The sequence below is a fragment of the Homo sapiens genome, chromosome 8 (genome assembly GCF_000001405.40).
Source record: "Homo sapiens chromosome 8, GRCh38.p14 Primary Assembly".
Taxonomy (NCBI): domain Eukaryota; kingdom Metazoa; phylum Chordata; class Mammalia; order Primates; family Hominidae; genus Homo; species Homo sapiens.
Genome location: NC_000008.11, coordinates 101272751 through 101289104, shown reverse-complemented (window position 1 = coordinate 101289104; position 16354 = coordinate 101272751). Strand labels below are relative to the sequence as shown.

The 16354-nt window shown below is 46.3% G+C and overlaps 1 long non-coding RNA gene across 2 annotated transcripts in view, besides 1 other annotated feature; it reads right to left on the bottom strand.

The window, feature by feature from the left end:
- The window catches only part of LOC107984005 (uncharacterized), a 79776-nt gene that overhangs the window by 4430 nt on the left and 58992 nt on the right, over positions 1 to 16354 (bottom strand). The window contains exon 5 of one of the 2 annotated variants that reach the window (XR_928469.2): positions 10707 to 10737. The exons of the other annotated variant lie outside the window; for it this stretch is intronic. This is a non-coding gene — a long non-coding RNA (uncharacterized LOC107984005). Of the gene's footprint in view, positions 1 to 10706; positions 10738 to 16354 lie in introns of those variants that run through there. 2 annotated transcript variants of the gene reach the window in all.
- Positions 516 to 1715: an enhancer, noted in NCBI's record as "MED14-independent group 3 enhancer chr8:102299618-102300817 (GRCh37/hg19 assembly coordinates)". NCBI's record gives its function as "activates an origin of replication core promoter dependent on BRD2, BRD4, P300/CBP and CDK7 cofactors, and independent of MED14, by STARR-seq in HCT116 cells {active_cell/tissue: HCT116}" and the evidence as "EXISTENCE:reporter gene assay evidence [ECO:0000049][PMID:35650434]".

Here is a 16354-nt window from a genome sequence, read left to right as displayed (position 1 = left end):
GATGCCTGACCATCTGGCTTCTCTTGTTTAAAAAAAATCAGAAGATGCAGCAGCACTAGGCCTCTTTCCCACCTGACAGGCGAAAGTAGCTGCCCCTCTAAACCTTACCTGTGCTCCCCACTTCTCCACGTGCCTTACCTGTTGCCTGCATTGTGCCCTGGGCCTTTGAGAGTGTGCCCGAGTTAGACAGCTTACAAGGTCCCTGGGATAGAAGCCAGCCAGTTCCTGACAAGCACAGATGAGCCTCACCAAGTGACCACTGTGGACTGTAACACACGCCCTCAGCTTCATCCTCACTGCAGACCCCTGGAAGAGCTCCCAGGGATTGTCCTTTATTATGGCTTTCTACACAAACCAGGGGATGGAGATGTAGGGAGTGGGCATGTGGCAGATGAGAAAGGGGTAAAATGTAAGCCTGGAAGTCATCTGCCACTCAGGGATTACTTTCCCAGAGAAAGCTTCCACAGTTGCTTCCTGTTTTGATAAGGCTGGGTCTACTGCAGAAGAGGAATCTGTCTCAGAAGACATGAGATTAAAGAGAATAAATAGGAAAGCATGCAGAATAAGACTAGGTTTGGATAACGATTCTCACTGTGAGAACAACTTGACAATCTGCCACTATGCTGAACTCTGATTTTCTACTCAACAGTTAAAGAGGTTTTGGATTTAAAGAGATGCTGCCTGCCTTCTGATTCAGCCTTTCTTGGCAGCCATATGTCTCCTGGTCCAAAAATGTCCACTGACTCCAGCAAGGGATTAAGAAATTCACACAAGAATTTTTTAGTCACGTTATTTTAAATGTGAAAGGCTTTCTCTAGAATCAGGTAAAGGGGTCCCGAGCAGATGTGTGCACAGATGGATGGGGCTTATCTGATTCCCTGTCCATCCACGCCCACACACTCCTGGCTGTCAGGAAAGGTTAGATGATGACAGTGACTCAGGAAGCCAAGAATGTGAATTATGTGAAATGAAGCCTGGATCCGCCCATGTAAGGTTACGGCTCAGCCCACCACAGCAAGCCTGAAAAGGAGACGCCATCTTGCTTAAAAAACAAAGGAGGGGGGCTGGATTTTGTAACACTTTTGTGTCTGTGAAATAACATCCATCCAGTTTGCTGGACAGAGAAACAGAGAACGAGAGGGAGAAATGAGACCTACCTAGCAAACTTGCTTGGACCCCCTGCGGCATACATGCCAGCACACCCCGCATGCCCACTGACCCACCAGTCTTCACCCCACGGGTCTACATCAGAACGGGGAAAGGCCTCCACGGAACTGGAGTGGGAAGCCACTTACCAAGATGTCAGCTAAAGCAGTTGGATATCCACAGTCACATCATATGCTTCACTGAGCTCTTCAACAGCAGAGCAGTGAGCACAGGCGCCTCCCCACAGTGCAGCAAGTAGGGACAGCTGCTGTCCTCCTAGGCCTTGAGCAGAGGGTGGGGGGAAAGAGCTGAACTGATGCTGGCACCCAGCAGTTCAAGAAGAGGAAAGAGCAGGGGAGCTATAAGAAGAGCTGAGGCTAGGGCTGTCTGCCCAAGGTCAGGCCTCCTGCAGGCCCTAGAGTGGACCCCCAGGAAGCTCTGCCCCCTCCACCCACCCTCTTTGGTGCACGCAAGGTCCTTAGATGTATGTCTCTGAGGTTCATTTTGGCAAGAATTCACCAAAGCAGAGGTCCTTGAGGGAGAAGAAAAAAAGCCAAAAAAGCCATGGTGTGGCAAGATAGCAGAGTGAGGAAGAACTAGGGCTCCAGAGGGAGACAGCCTGGCTTTGAAAGTTGGCTCCACCTTGTGTCATCTTGGATGATGTGTTGAACCTCTCTTTGCTTCAGTTTTCCTACCTGTGAAATGGATATAATAATAGCCTATTCGAGGAATAGCAAAGGATTGCTATGGAGACAAAATGAGATAGTATGGGTAAATCTGGGCACAGTGCAGGGTACAAAGTTCTCAGTTACTGTGAGCTTCTTCCTGTTCCTAGCCTCCTCATCCCTGAAATGGACTTTAATATGCACAAAAGCATGACTGAAATTAACATATAAAACATAGAGCTTATCCCTGACTACAGTGAGTAAATGCAAGAAGTCAAAAGAGAGGATATCCCTGGCATATCTTGATAAAGTATAAAACACTATACAAATTTCAGAGTCCACTAAGAAGTAATTTTAGTAGTCCACTGAAGTAACTGCAAAGAGGCCTGATATTAATATCTTTCAGCATAGAGAAAAATAATCCAGCCAAAGTATGTTACATTCCTACCACATGCCTGTCACTACAAGGAGAAAAAGATATAATAATAATTATTAAGTTATACCTTTTGCATGCCAAGTACTGCCTACAAATAACCTTTCTTCCTTAAAATCCTTCAAGGTAGATTTTAATCTCCATTTTAAAAGTGAAGAAATTGAGACACAGAGGTTAAGCAACTTGGCCAAGTTCACACAATCAATAAGTGACTGAGTTGGGATTTGAACTTGAGTCTGTCTCATGACAATGGTAAAGATAATAGCACTGATTAAGTGTTTTCTAAATGCCAGGCAATGTGCTGACCTTTTACGTGCATTGCTTCATTTCATCTTCACACCAATGCTATGAGGCAGGTACTATTATTATGCCCACTTTACAGATAAGGAAAGATTAAGAAACCAGCCCAAAGTCTCATAGTCACATAGGGGAAGAATCAGGCATCAAGTCCCTGGTCAGGGTGACCCCAAAGCCCAGGCACTTGCCCAGTCACCACACTGCATCCTTTGTGTCCCAGCAGCAAGGGAGACATGACCGTTCTCAACGTGAAACTCTTCGTAATTTCAAGGGTCCTAAGTACACGTGGACAGCCTGGCTTCACCCTTTATGCAGAAAAGATTTTGATTTCTTTCTCTGCACTACAAATGGTTCTTAGAGAGCGTTTCCTCCTAGGAAAATGTGTTTAACATTCTCTGAAGGACTCTACTCTCAACCTCTCTTGAAAACCTAATAAACTCAAGGTCATGGAAAACATTGTCTCTAAGAACATATGGCTAAAAGAGAAAGAAGAGGCACTCAGTTAGCTTGGATTTTGAAGGGTTTTACCAAGAGAACACTGGAGTGGTTTTATTTGAAGTAATTACAAGAACTTCAAGCCTTCTAAGTGGCACAAGCCTTGCCTTTAGTGCAGATAAGCCTGTCATTTTTTAGTGCTACCAGTGGGATTCTTTTGTGGGCAGCATCTGCCTTAAGTGAAATCCTGATCCTTCAAAAGCACAACTTTCTTCAAGAGAAACAGGTGAAATAGGAATTGTCAAAACCCAGCGTTCCCTGCCCACCCTCCCCCAACTTTTCTCCTTATCAGCCCCCAACCTATGGTATTTACAAATCAAATCTCGTGTATGTGTGTGTATTTTTAGTAAAGATGGCATTTCACCGTGTTGGCCAGGCTGATCTCGAACTCCTGACCTCAGGTGATCTGCCCACCTCGGCCTCCCAAAGTGCTGGGATTACAGGTGTGAGCCACCATGCCCAGCCAAAATCACTTTTTAATTCTGCTACAAAGCATGGACAAGAAGAAAGGTGTAATTGTCCTTCAGACATGTGCTCTCTGATACAGCAATCACAAACCACAAGTGGCTATTTAAATAGAAATGAACTAAAGTTAGTTAAAATTTAAAATTCAGCTTGTCAGTCACACTAGCCACATTTCAAGGGCTTGGCAGTCCCTGTGGCTAGTGGCTATGGACAGCACAGATCTAGGATATTTCTATGATCATAGACAGTTCTTTGGGAGCAGTGCTGAGCTAGAAACTCCACTCAGGAATCTGAAAGGCCTGGAGCTTCTCCTATGGTTGCTGTTTGAGTTTCAGTTTTCCCAAAAGTAGATTTGAAGGTAAAGATTTGAGTGTGAGTAATTTATTCAAAAATTGCAGGGAATACAAGTGGGGAGGTGGCACGGGGAAGGCCAGGCAGCCAGTAAACCTACTTAAACCTGTAGGAAACTGAGAAATGGTGTAAAATACTCAACTCAGAATTATCCCATCCAAGCAGGAGTGAGCTGGGGTATTTGTACGCCAACCCTGAGGACTGCTTCTAAGGCTGTGAGTTTCCTAGTACTTCTGGTCTACCTGTGGGTAGGCAGAGATTTCAGAGATTGGGCTGGGAGTGAGGGCAGAAATTATCAATATCAGGCTCAGAGGCAGAGACTGGCAGAGGAAGTTGACCAGAGCACCCCCGCAAGTTCTGAGAGATGCAGATGCTGCATAACACCGTCTGGCTACAGAAATGCTTAAGAATCACCTTCCTCCCAGAATTTTGCCTAGAACATTATGTCCATGACCTTGATTTATGTCACTCTAAGAGGAGCAATCCAGCTCCTATGGCAGGAAAAGCTTAGGGGATGTCAAGGGAGAGGGAAGGAGAGAGCACAGAGAGAAAAGAAACTCAAGGATGTTCAGCAGGGCTGATTCTACATAGACTTAAGGGTGAATTGGTGGGGAAAACAGGGAAATGTTGTGCATCATCCTTGGTGTCTGGATTCTAGGTGTTGTGAGATGTACTGATACAGTTTGTCTGTGTCCTCACCCAAATATCATGAATTGTAGCTCCCATCTTCCCCACATGTCATGGAAGGACCCAGTGGTGGGTAATTAAATCATGGTGTGTGTGTTGGGGGAGGGGTAGTTTCCCATGCTGTTCTCATGACAGTGAATAAGTCTCATGAGATCTAATGGTTTTATCAAGGGCAGTTCCCCTCCACATGCTCTCTTGCTTGCCACCACGTAAGATGTGCCTCTGCTCCTCCTTTGCCTTCTGTCATGATTGTGAGGCTTCCCCAGCCACGAGGAACTGTGAGTCCATTAAACCTCTTTCCTTTATAAATGACCTAGTCTTGGGTATGTACTTATAGCAGCATGAGAATGGACTAATATATGTACCATGAAGGCTACAAGCCTGATCAAACTGTGAGATGCCCTGAGTGTCCCGTTCATGCATTGGCGTGTCCTGGAGCACAAGTGCTCAAGCTCTCTGCCCATTACTAAGAGCGGGGGGTGTGGAAGCCCAGAGCAGACCCCTTGTTATGATTCGAATTAGCCTGCCAAAAAGATGTTGAAGTCCTAACTCCTATAGGTACCTGTGAATGTGACCTTATTTGGAAATAGGATATTTGTAGATGATAGAGTTAAGATAAGGTCATTAGCATGGACCCAAATCTAATATGACTGGTGTCCTAAAAAAGAGGGAAATTAGGACACAGTTGCAGCTATATACAGAGGGGAGATGATGTGAAGACACAGAGAATTCCATCTACAAGCCAAGGGTGCCAGAGGCTACCAGAAGTTGGCAGAGAGGCTGGAGCAGTTTCTCTCTCAGCACCCTTGGAAGAAACCACCCCTGCTGACACCTGGATCTCGGATTGCCAGCCCCAAAATGTCTGTTGTTGATGTCATCAGTTTGTAGTACTTTTTTACAACAGCCCTAGCAAGCCAATACACTCCTCTAAGACTCCTGCTCCTTCTTGTTCTGTATCCAGGGAGCCCTCTCTAGCTGAGCAGCCGTGTGTGGAGAGGAAGAGCTGGGATTCCGAGCCACGTGCCTGGGTTTGCGTCCTAGCTCTGACACTATTAGCTGTGTGACCTTGGGCAAGTTACTAAACCTCTTGGTGTTTTAATTTCCTCAACAGTAAAACAGAGAGAAAATAATCATACTTAGCCTATAGGGTTTTTCTAAGAATTAAATGAGTTGAAATTTGTAAGGTGCTTAGACTAGTACCCAGCAACATAATAAACACTACTTAAGTGACAATTAAAATAAAGCCTCAGCTTTGAGGCCCTGGATTGGATCAACATGAGTTTGGGGATTTGTGGCCACAGAGGGAAAGCCAGGACCCAGCTCTATAATGGTCCTAGGTACTAGGGGTACAGCTCCTGCTTTGGTAGTAAGTCTTTTGGGCAGGAATTCTGGGAGGAGATGATAATTCAGGGTGTCTTAAAGTTGAATGGGAACAAACCTGGATCCTGCCTGCAACTCAGGCCAGAAAAAATGAGGAAGGTCATTCCAGGCAGAGGCAGCTCCCTTTGGTCTGCTTCAGACTTCAGCCTCAGCCACGATGGGCTCAGACCCAACAGTGCAGCACCCACCTCAGGTTACACCATGCAGCCTTCTGATTTCTGCCTCTAGGGCTTCTTGCAAGCAAGGCCTGCAAGCTGGGGGAGGTTACATCCAGAGGCATCTCTCAGTGAAAGGGGATAGGAGCTGGCAGATAACCACTCCAGCCTCCCATCATTTGGAGGCATTGTGTCTGCTTCTGAGGGCTTGGTGGAATCCCTCACCCTGTCCTCCAGCAGTGACCATGCACACACAGATTGGCTGTTCCTCCTCCCTGTCTCACGGTCCCCACTCTCTTATACCTGCCTCTAGGATCACCCCTCAAATGAACTGTTTGCATCCAAATCTTTGTCTCAGCTCTGCTTCTGTGAGGGTCCTAATTAAGACAATAACAGGGGTAAAGATACAAAGTCAAGGGCCTGTGTACTTTGGAAGGAGAGCATGGAAGATACTAGAGGCCAGCTTGTTTTACTGGTATGGAAAGGTGCCAGTAGGTTGTTGAGAGTCCAGATTGGTAGCCAGAGGGGCCAGATCACAGGGCCACTGTGTGCCAGGTAGAGATCTTAGCTCTGTCTTGTAGGCTGTCGGGAGCCACTGAGAAGCCAAGGGGGTCAGAGGGCAGCCAAGAAGTGAAGTGACCTTCTCAGAGTGCCTTCTCCAAAGATGGCTCTGCTAGCTGTTTGGAGGGTAAATTTGAGGGGGCAAGGCTGGGGGCTTCAACATATATTAGGAGGCCACTGCAGTGGTCCAGGTAAGTGCCAGAAAGAACCTGAACTAGCAAGGTAGGCTGCAGATGGAGGAGATGGAGTCAAGAAATGGAGGTGAAGTTCATCTGCGGTGACTAACTCATCGCTGTTTCCCCAGGACTTTCCTGACTTTTGCACTGAAAGTCCCACATCCTGGGAAATTCCTCAGTCCCAGGAAAACTGGGATGATTGGTCACCCTAAATTCCATAGACTGGTTTGACTAAATCGTGGCAAGGGGTGAAGGGAAAGGGAGGAATCAAGAAGGGCAGGTGCAGTGGCTCACGCCTATAATACCAGCACTTTGGGAGGCAGAGGTGGGAGGGTTCTTTGAGCCCAGGAATTTGAGACCAGCGTGGGCAACATAGCAAGAACCTATCCTAAAACAAATATACATTTTTAAAGGAATTAATTTTCTATTTCAGGCTTAAGTAATTGGGGGAAGGGGTTGCCATCACCTGGGACAATGAACACAAAAGAAGCTGATCTTGAAGATAAGATGATGCAGTCGGTTTGGGACAGTAGAATTGGAAGTATCTTTGGGACTTATAGACAGTCATGAAGAGCAGTATTTTGGATTTATTGGGTGTTAGAAGGAACTGTGAGAGTGGTCGACATCATTCCTGGAAAGCCGCAGGATAATGTACTGTGACTAGGAATTCGTTTTCCTTAATGAGTGAAACATCCATGTCCCTGGAATACTGATTTTAAAAATTATGACCATTTCCTGAGATGGTTATGAGGGCTACTCTGATAGAAAACAGTATCCCATGAATGTTTAGAGTTTGTTTATCAAAGCAGCTATGTGTCACTTAGCAGGGCACAGAGCCCTGAACACAGGGAAGGTCTCATGGCATATCCCAGAAAAGTTGAAAACACAAGTCTCCCTGCCTGGGGGAGCTGTCCCCCATGGAATAGGAGGGTTACACTCACCGCCAGGGAGTGTGATGTGAGCAGACCCCTGGGAGGTGGGAGGAAGGCACCAAAAGCAGGGGGGACTTGGAGAAAATGAATGGAAAGTGTTTGACGCCCAGCTTGGCAGGTACATCCGGGGCCTCACCACTGAGTCCTTCACTAATCCGCCCATGACAGGATCTGGTGGTTCTGGCTTAAACCATGATTTACCTTGTTAAATCTTCTCTCTAGTAGCTGCTCACATTGTATAACAACCCTGAGATTCTTTCTTTGGCTTTCTGGGGACCCATAAGCAAGCCAAGGTAATAAACACAATTATAATGGTTAATATAGTTGATTACTTTCTACTTGACACTCTTCTAACTACACACATTAACTTGTTTAATCCTTATAGTAACCTGCCAGATAAGTACTTTCATTACCATCTTCATTTTTACAAATGAAGAAATTGAAGCATAAAGAGATTAGGCAGCTTGCCAAAGTCACTTAGCTGGTGTGTGACAGAGCTGGTGCGTGACTGACACAGCCTTGCTGAATACGGAGTTGGATGCACACGGTGGGCTTGAGATCCCGCACGCCCCAGCTCCAGCGCATCTCCACCCACAGCCCCTGGCCCCCACCACCTCTGCCATCGCAGTCCAGCCTGGAAAGCAGCCTGCAGTCTCAGGTAAAGCAGGATTTTCTCCTGCCTCCAAACACCAGCCCCTGCCCTTCCATGCCTCTAGCTGATGTCCAGGTGTCCCTGACTTCTTCAGCTGCTTTTCAAGAACTCCCTGGCCCCCTCCTTCTTCTTTCATTTTAAACTAACAAATGAGTACATCAATATCCTTTGCTCTTCTGCAGAAAGCATGTTTGTCCTTTTCAGAGAGTTCTATGCTCTGCTGATCTTGACCAGGAGTTGTGGGACCTGGGTTTAACACACAGCATTGTCTTTTACTCTGTGTTTCTGGCTGCCTCCCTTCTTTGGGTCTCTCTGGCTTTCCACGTCTGAAAAATTAAGTTAACTTGATCAGTGATTTTCAACTTAAGAAGGAGCATAGAGAAGGGAGTATCAGAACTGTGGGATACAGAGAGGGCAGGACTACCCATTGTGTGCTCCAGGCTATTCCTAATCACTTTTATCACAATGTACCTGTCCTATGTCCCCTTCTCCCAGGGCTATGCCCTCTAGATGACAGAAAACAAACCTGACAGCTACCATCACGACCCCCTGAGATCCCCATGTGACACTCCCCACCCTACCCCACCGCAGTCCAGATCACCACTGTAGAAGGCTCTTTCTGCTGATAGGAAGGTGGCTCAACCCTTTAGAGTGTTGCACGGGGGAAAGAAAGACTGTGAATCACTCACTGTTCCAGATGATCTTTGGCACACGGCAATGCTTATGTTCTATGAGACTATGATTTCTGTACAATGCCAGTGTGAACAGCTGTTACCTCCTTATCACTTATGCTGCAGAGCAAAGGAAGAGATAATTAGTCTTTAAAAGATGGAAGAAACAGGGGAGGTTGGAGGACAGATAGAATGTGCCAGTGGGTCATGTCATGAGCCACGTAAATGTGTTCCACCATAGTCATCTGGAACACTCCATGTCACCTGTTGCTCTGGGCTATCTGAGAAAGGAGGTAGGTGCCACTTTCCCAGCCCCAGTATAGAGATGTCTTAAGACTCATGACGTCCCACAGCTCCTGTCATTCAGGAACTCTGCCCTGATAGATCTCCCCAGAGAAGGCTTCCCCTGTACCTTCCTTCTTTCAAACCACTGATGTAATCTGTCTCTCTGTTTCTCCATTGCTGTGGGTTACCAACTAGTCAGGTCAAGTCAATACAAGCATTTATGGAGCATCCACAGGTCTATAATTGGTACCCAATGGGGAGCAGGGGAAGAGGGGACAAAAAACAAGTAAGCTTCAGCCCTGCTCTCAGGAAGCTCACAGTCCAGTCTACATACCCACTCGACACAACTTTTTTTTAACTTTTATTTTAGATTCAGGGGATACCTGTGCAGATTTGTTACATGGGCATATTACATGATGCTGAGGCTTGGGCTATGAATGATTCCATCACCAGGTACTGAGCTTAGTACCTGACAGCTGGTTTTTCAACCCTTGCCCCCCTCCCTTCCTCCCTCCTCCCCCTAGTCATCCCAGTGTCTATTTTTGCCATCTTTATGTCCACAAGTACTCAATGTTTTAGTTCCCACTTATAAGTAAGAATATGTGATATTTGGTTTCCGTTCCTAAGTTAGTTCGCTTAGGATAATGGCCTCCAGCTGCATGCATGTTCCAGCAAAGGACATAATTTCATTCTTTTTAATGGCTGCATGGTATTCCATGATGTATATGTGCCACATTTTATTTATTCAGTCCACTGTTGGTGGGCATCCGGATGGATGCCATGTCTTTGTTATGGTGAATAGTGCTGTGATGAACACGTGGGTGCCGGTGTCTTTTTGGTACAACGATTTATTTTCCTCTCGGTACATACCCAGTAATAGGACTGCTGGGTCGAACTGTAGTTCTATTTTTAGTTCTTTGAGAAATCTCCAAATTGTTTTCCACAGTGGCTGAACTAATTTACATTTCCACTAACAGTATGTAGGCGTTCCCTTTTCTCCACAGCCCTGCCAGCATATGTTATTTCTTGACTTTTCAATGAAAGCCATACTGACTGGTGTGAGCTAGCATCTCATTGCCATTTTGATTTGCATTTCTCCGATGATTAGCTATGATGAGCATTTTTTCATATCTTTGTTGACCACTTATACATCTTCTTTTGAGAAGTGTTTGTTCATGTCCTTTGCCCACTTTTTTATGGGGTTATTTGTTTTTTCCTTGTTGATTTGTTTACGTTCCTTATAGATTGTGAACATTAGGCCTTTGTCAGATGCATAGTTTGTGAATATTTTCTTCTATTCTGTAGGTTGTCTGTGTACTCTGTTGATAGTTTCTTTTGCTGTACAGAAGCTCTTAGGTTTAATTAGATCCCATTTTCAACACAACTCTTAAAGGAGAAAAGAGAACAGAGAGAATAAACAGAGAACAAAGCCATGTGTTCATTTACTCACTTGGCAGATTTCTCAGTGCAGAGGTGATCAGCACACCTTGTCTTACCATATCTGAAAGGAATGAAGGCCAGGACTATTTGTTCCTTGCTCCTGGCAAAGACGTTTCTGATTCACCCAGGGCTGGCAGTCCATCCCCACCCAGTGGCCCAGGCAATGACCCATTTCCAGGTGGTTTGGACAGTTGTGGGTAGACCAGAACTCCTCTGACTCCCTTGGAAACTCAGAACACAGGCTTCTATCCCCATAAAAAGATAAACACACCAGTTTGATGCTTCTGCCTAAACTCTCTCCGTAAAAAATTGTTAACACGACAGGGTTTTCCTATTACCATAGTAACCCCTGCATGTGAACAGCAGACTGCAAGGCAAAGAGGATGAAAATGCAGAGGAACCCAAGCTTCAGAATGGCATATTGGAAGAGAGAAGCAGGCAGGTGGAGCTGGTCAGCTGTAGGCCTGACCCTGCTGGGACAGCCTGCAATCTCCACCCAGTCTGATCTGGCTGCCGAGTAAGCTGGTGTGTGATTTCTTTTGCTGCAGTCTTTGCCTACAGAACTGTAGTATCTGGAGGTCCAAGAACAGTGACACTGCCCTAGTCTCCACTGGGTTAACTTTCTACCTATTTCTTTCTTTTCCTTCTTTTTTCAAGAGATCTGGGGGAAGATACTTTTGTTTTCAGATGGTGTCACGATGTGGCATAGTTTGAAAGAGAAAGGATGCAAACAAAGCAGAAAACGATAGGGAGATGAAATCAAAGAGCTGGCAAGGAACAGCTGTAATGACCCAAAGCTGTAAGCACTCTGTCCCCCTTGGCCAGTGAGGACAGTTCTTTGCTCTGTGTCCCTTCCAGGTCACAAGTTGGAGGGTACAAAGAGCCTCCATTCAGGCTTCAAAAATAACAACAAGGCTGGGCACAATGGCTCATGCCTATAATCCCAACACTTTGGAAGGCCAAGATGGAAGGATCACTTAGGGCCAGGAGTCCCAGATCAGCGTGGGCAACATAGTGAGATCCTGTCTCTACCAAAACAAAACAAACAAACAAAAACAAGACGAGCAACAAACAAACAAGCAGAAACCCCGGTCGGTTGCCAAGTTACGCAGAAGGGGCTGCTACTTCATCAGTCTTCCTGTCAAACATTCTGTGTCTACATGAAATGAAACTGCAGGCAGATGAGTTAAGGGAAGATGGATAAAGATAATAACGCATCTGACATAACGCAGTAATGTGCTCACCGCAGTACCTGGATCTTCAACTACAAGGTTTGCCACTTGGGAAAATGCAGTGGAAGTATTGTTCTCAGGGGCGCCTGCACCGAAGAAGCAGAGGGCGTCCTGCTCTCAGTCGCGGTCTATAAAATAGGTTCTGATTCCTAAAACTGGAGGCATCATTGAACTTTTGGAGAGTGTTGCCTTAAAGTAATTGTGTTTAACTCTGTGTGTGTGTGTGTGTGTCTGTCTCACTCACATTTACATACAAACTTTTCAAAACACTTACATCTCTAAGCGATACAGATGGCGACACTTCACATGTTTTAAACTCCTACATGCGTTCCTCTAGACATCAGGGCAGGGAAAACATAAGAGGCTTCATTTCCAGCAAAAACAAACTGCAGAGCCCTGGCAACGCCCCCTTTCTCACTCCCCCTTTCCGGAGCACCTTCCCACTTTCTCCTCTTTTGCCAACTCCTGTGCCTCCATCAGTGTCGCTCTGAAACATCTTCTCACCCTAGAAGCTTCCCTGGCATCCCAGGCACGGTTAGGAGCCTCTCCTAAAAGAAGACTTCTTAGAAGATGTGGCATTTCTTGCCTGGCTGATGGAGGCACCTCTGCTGGAATGTGGCAGACAGTGTCGAGCAGGAGAGCACAGCTGCAAATGCAACACGACAGCAGTGTCTCTGTCACATGCGTCCTGTGGGCAGGGGCTTTACTATCTACTAAGGGATTTAATATCTCATTTGAATCCTCCCAGAGGTAGGTGTTCATACCCCCAACTTACAGATAAGGAAACTGAGACTTGGAGAGGATTAAAAAATGTCCTGAGTCAAACACCTATCAAATGGCAAAGCAGGTGTTTAAACACAAGACTTGGGCTAAAGCCTATGTTTTTACCATGGTGTTAAGTGACTTCCCTTGACATGTCCAACAGGCTTTTAGGGTGTTTTCTCAGTCCACACAAGTTGACAAAGATTCTAAAACAAAGCAGTGTGGCCATTTTATGCCAGCAACTTCTTGCCTCCTTTGTAAGCCTTGGACACAATCCTGGCAGCAGCAGATCAAGAGCTCGATTCTGAAGAACCTAGGCCAGGCCGCCACTGGCCCATGCAAAGTCCTGGGAGATCACCCAGGGAAGGTGCGTGCTTTGCTTAGAGCCCATCAGTGTTGCTGTTTCATGCTCCACTGATTCCTATCCAAAATTTTTGCAAGTCCTAAATGCTAGAAGCTCCACCTCAGGTTTAACCCACGCACAGTCTTTTCTTTCTTACTTCTGAGGTTTAAAATTATTCTTTGATTCAAAGTTGTGTTTCTAATGAAGATGACTGAAAGCTGATTTGAAAATATCAGGCATCATTCGCTGTGAAGAGAGAGCCAAAGGGGCTGGCTGGTGCACCAGACACAGATAGTTTCAGAAGACAGTGGTTTCCTATTTAATGCAATGGAGGAATGTCGTTCTGAGAGGTGGCTGTGTTGTTCCTCATTCCACACCCTGCCCACCCCAAGATGATGTCATAGCCAGAGGTAAGATGGGCACCAGTGAAGAGCAGCGCCTTTGGACAAACCTGCCTCCTCTGTAGTTACCTTTGTGAGCCTAAGTGAGTCCATTTTGAATCTCAGATTCCTCATTTGTAAAATGGGGCCGCCAATGCTCCTCTCATAGAGATGTCCAGGAAATTAAATAAAATCATGTACATAAAGCATTTAGTAGCACTGGTTACAACATAGTGAGTCCTCTATTTCGGTAAACAAATCAGGTGCACTTCAGATTAGCCAAAGAGGGAGGCTCAGTTCTGTTCAAATTCTTTTGATTCAGTTCAAATTCCCTTTTGACAATAAAATTCCCATTCTAGAATATGACTTACATTTTCCTAGAGGTAAGATGTACCTAGAGACTAAATCCCAAAGGGTGTGGAGAGCAGATGGGAGAGAAGGGGAACAGGGGACATTGGGAGGGTGGTCAGGATCAAGGGATGGCTCCAACATTCCCATCTCCCCCGACTCCCCCGCCCACCCCCTCCCTGTGGACATGCCCCGTGTCATCCCCTCCCCTGATGTGAATGGGACTTGGGAATATGCCGAGAGAGTCACTCCTGGGATTACTTTATGTTATACATGACTCCATCTTAGCCCACTGGAGAGAGGGATTTGTCCTGATGGCCTCAAAGAAGGGAGCACACTGTCATGCTGTGAACTGCCTACGAGGGCCACAGGCTCAGACTGGAGGGAGGCCTCTAGGAGCTGACAGCCACTCCGCTGACAGCCAGCAGGAAAACTGGAAGAAGTAAACTCTGCCAATAACCTGAGCGAGCTGGGAAGAGGACCTAGAGCCCCAGATGAGACCACAGCCCCAGCTGACCCCTTGATCTCAGCTCTAAGCAGAAAACCTAGCTGTGCCATGCCAGGACTTCTGGTCTACAGAAATTCCAAGATGATGAATGGGTGTCGTTTAAAGCTGCTAAGTTTGTGGTCATTTGTTATGCAACACAGAAGCCTCTACAGTGGGCAAGGGCAATGATGAGAATTTCTTCTTGCCCCTTTTCCTGCCTCCCCATAAATAAAGACAGTACTTAGGGCAGGTGTGGAAGAGGCACCCAAGCTGAAGACTCCCCCAGCTTCGGGCACTCAGGGTCCTCCATATTCTTAGCTGTTCTTCTCTTGCATTCAGAGGCTCCACTGGGAACTGAAACCTCAGCTGGCTCTTCCATGGTCTACCCCAGTCCATGCTGTCACATGACACAACTGATGCATCCGGGAGGCCTAGGGAGTATGTGCATTAGGGGATGGAATTCTTTAGAGAAAAATTCTCCAGCATCTCATGTAACCTCCCTCTTAACAAATATAAATGTTTGGCCAAGGCTTCCAAGGCCTTGAAAAGAAATGAGAGCATTGTCACCTGAACGTTTATCTAAGGTGGGGAGAGGGCAGTAGGGAGGGAGGTCATGATAAGAAGATAGGTTAAGAACCAGTGAAGATGGGCCGGGCATGGTGGCTCACGCCTATAATCCAACACTTTGAGAAGCCGAGGCAGGTGGATCACTTGAGGTCAGGAGTTCAAGACCAGCCTGGTCAATATGGCAAAACCTCATCTCTATTAAAAATACAAAAATTAGCCAGGTGTGGTGGTGCATGCGTGTAGTCCCAGCTACTCAGGAGGCTAAGGCAGGAAAATCACTTGAACCCGGGAGATGGAGGTTGCAGTGAGCCAAGATTGCACCACTGTACTCCAGCCTGGGTGACAGAGCGAGACTCTGTCTCAAAGAAAAATAAACAAAAGAACCCATGAAGGTGTGAGCTGGGAAGGCTTGTGGGTGGCCCAGGGGCTAATGGAAAGAAGGCCAAATGTGAGGATGACTCAGTGACAGTGGTTTTCTAAATGAGGTGGTCTAGTTCTGGACTTTTCCAGTTAATGCCCCCTCCACATCTTGCCTCTATGTTCTTCCCACAGTAGGCATAATTTTTTTTTTTTTTTTTTTTGCAGTTGCAAGATTTAATAGAGTGAAAACAGAGCTCCCATACAAAGGGAGGGAACCCAAAGAGGGTAGCCATTGCCAGCTCGAATGCCTGGGTTTATATCCCAATCACTGTCCCTCCCACTATGCTCTCAGGTGATAGATGATTGGCTATTTCTTTACCTCCTGTTTTTGCCTAATTAGCATATTAGGGAGTTCTCTTTACTACCTGGTTGGTGGGGTGTGAGCTAAGTTGCAAGCCCCGTGTTTAAAAGTGGATGCAGTCACCTTCCCAGCTAGACTTAGGGATTCTTAGTCGGCACAACAGGCAATTGTTATAAATTCTTGTTAAGTCACTCCCTTTTCTTTCTCTCTACCAAGAAGTAGAAAGAGATTAAAGTGCGTCCTCTCCAGAGGTATATGCACAGTAGGAAAGTATAGGAAATCTGAAGGTCTTCAGGACTCAAAAAAATGAACTAACCAATGGTGGGTTTTCAGGCACCATGGCATCAAGTGGAGGAAACCGTCTGGGAGCAGTTTGCTTCCAGGAGATACCACCAGCCCACTGTGTTAACAGTGGTGCCTCTGATTCCTGGGTAGGGCAGGGGTCCCAGGATTGCAGAATGTTAGAGCAGAAAGAGACCTGTTTCTACACTCCTGACTTCAGAGGAAAGGAATCAGGGCCTGCAGAAGTTAAAGCAATTTGTCCAAGGCTCCTCAGCATAATAAAGGCAGGGCCTGGTCTAAAATCAGGACCTTTAGCCCCTGAGAAGGGCCTACCAACCCACATAGTCCTCCAGTTGCTGATGTGGATGGATATGGCCAGAATTCCGGGAAGTCATGAGTCTCAGAGGCCAAAGGAAAGGCAAGCAAGGCTGCCTGCTACAT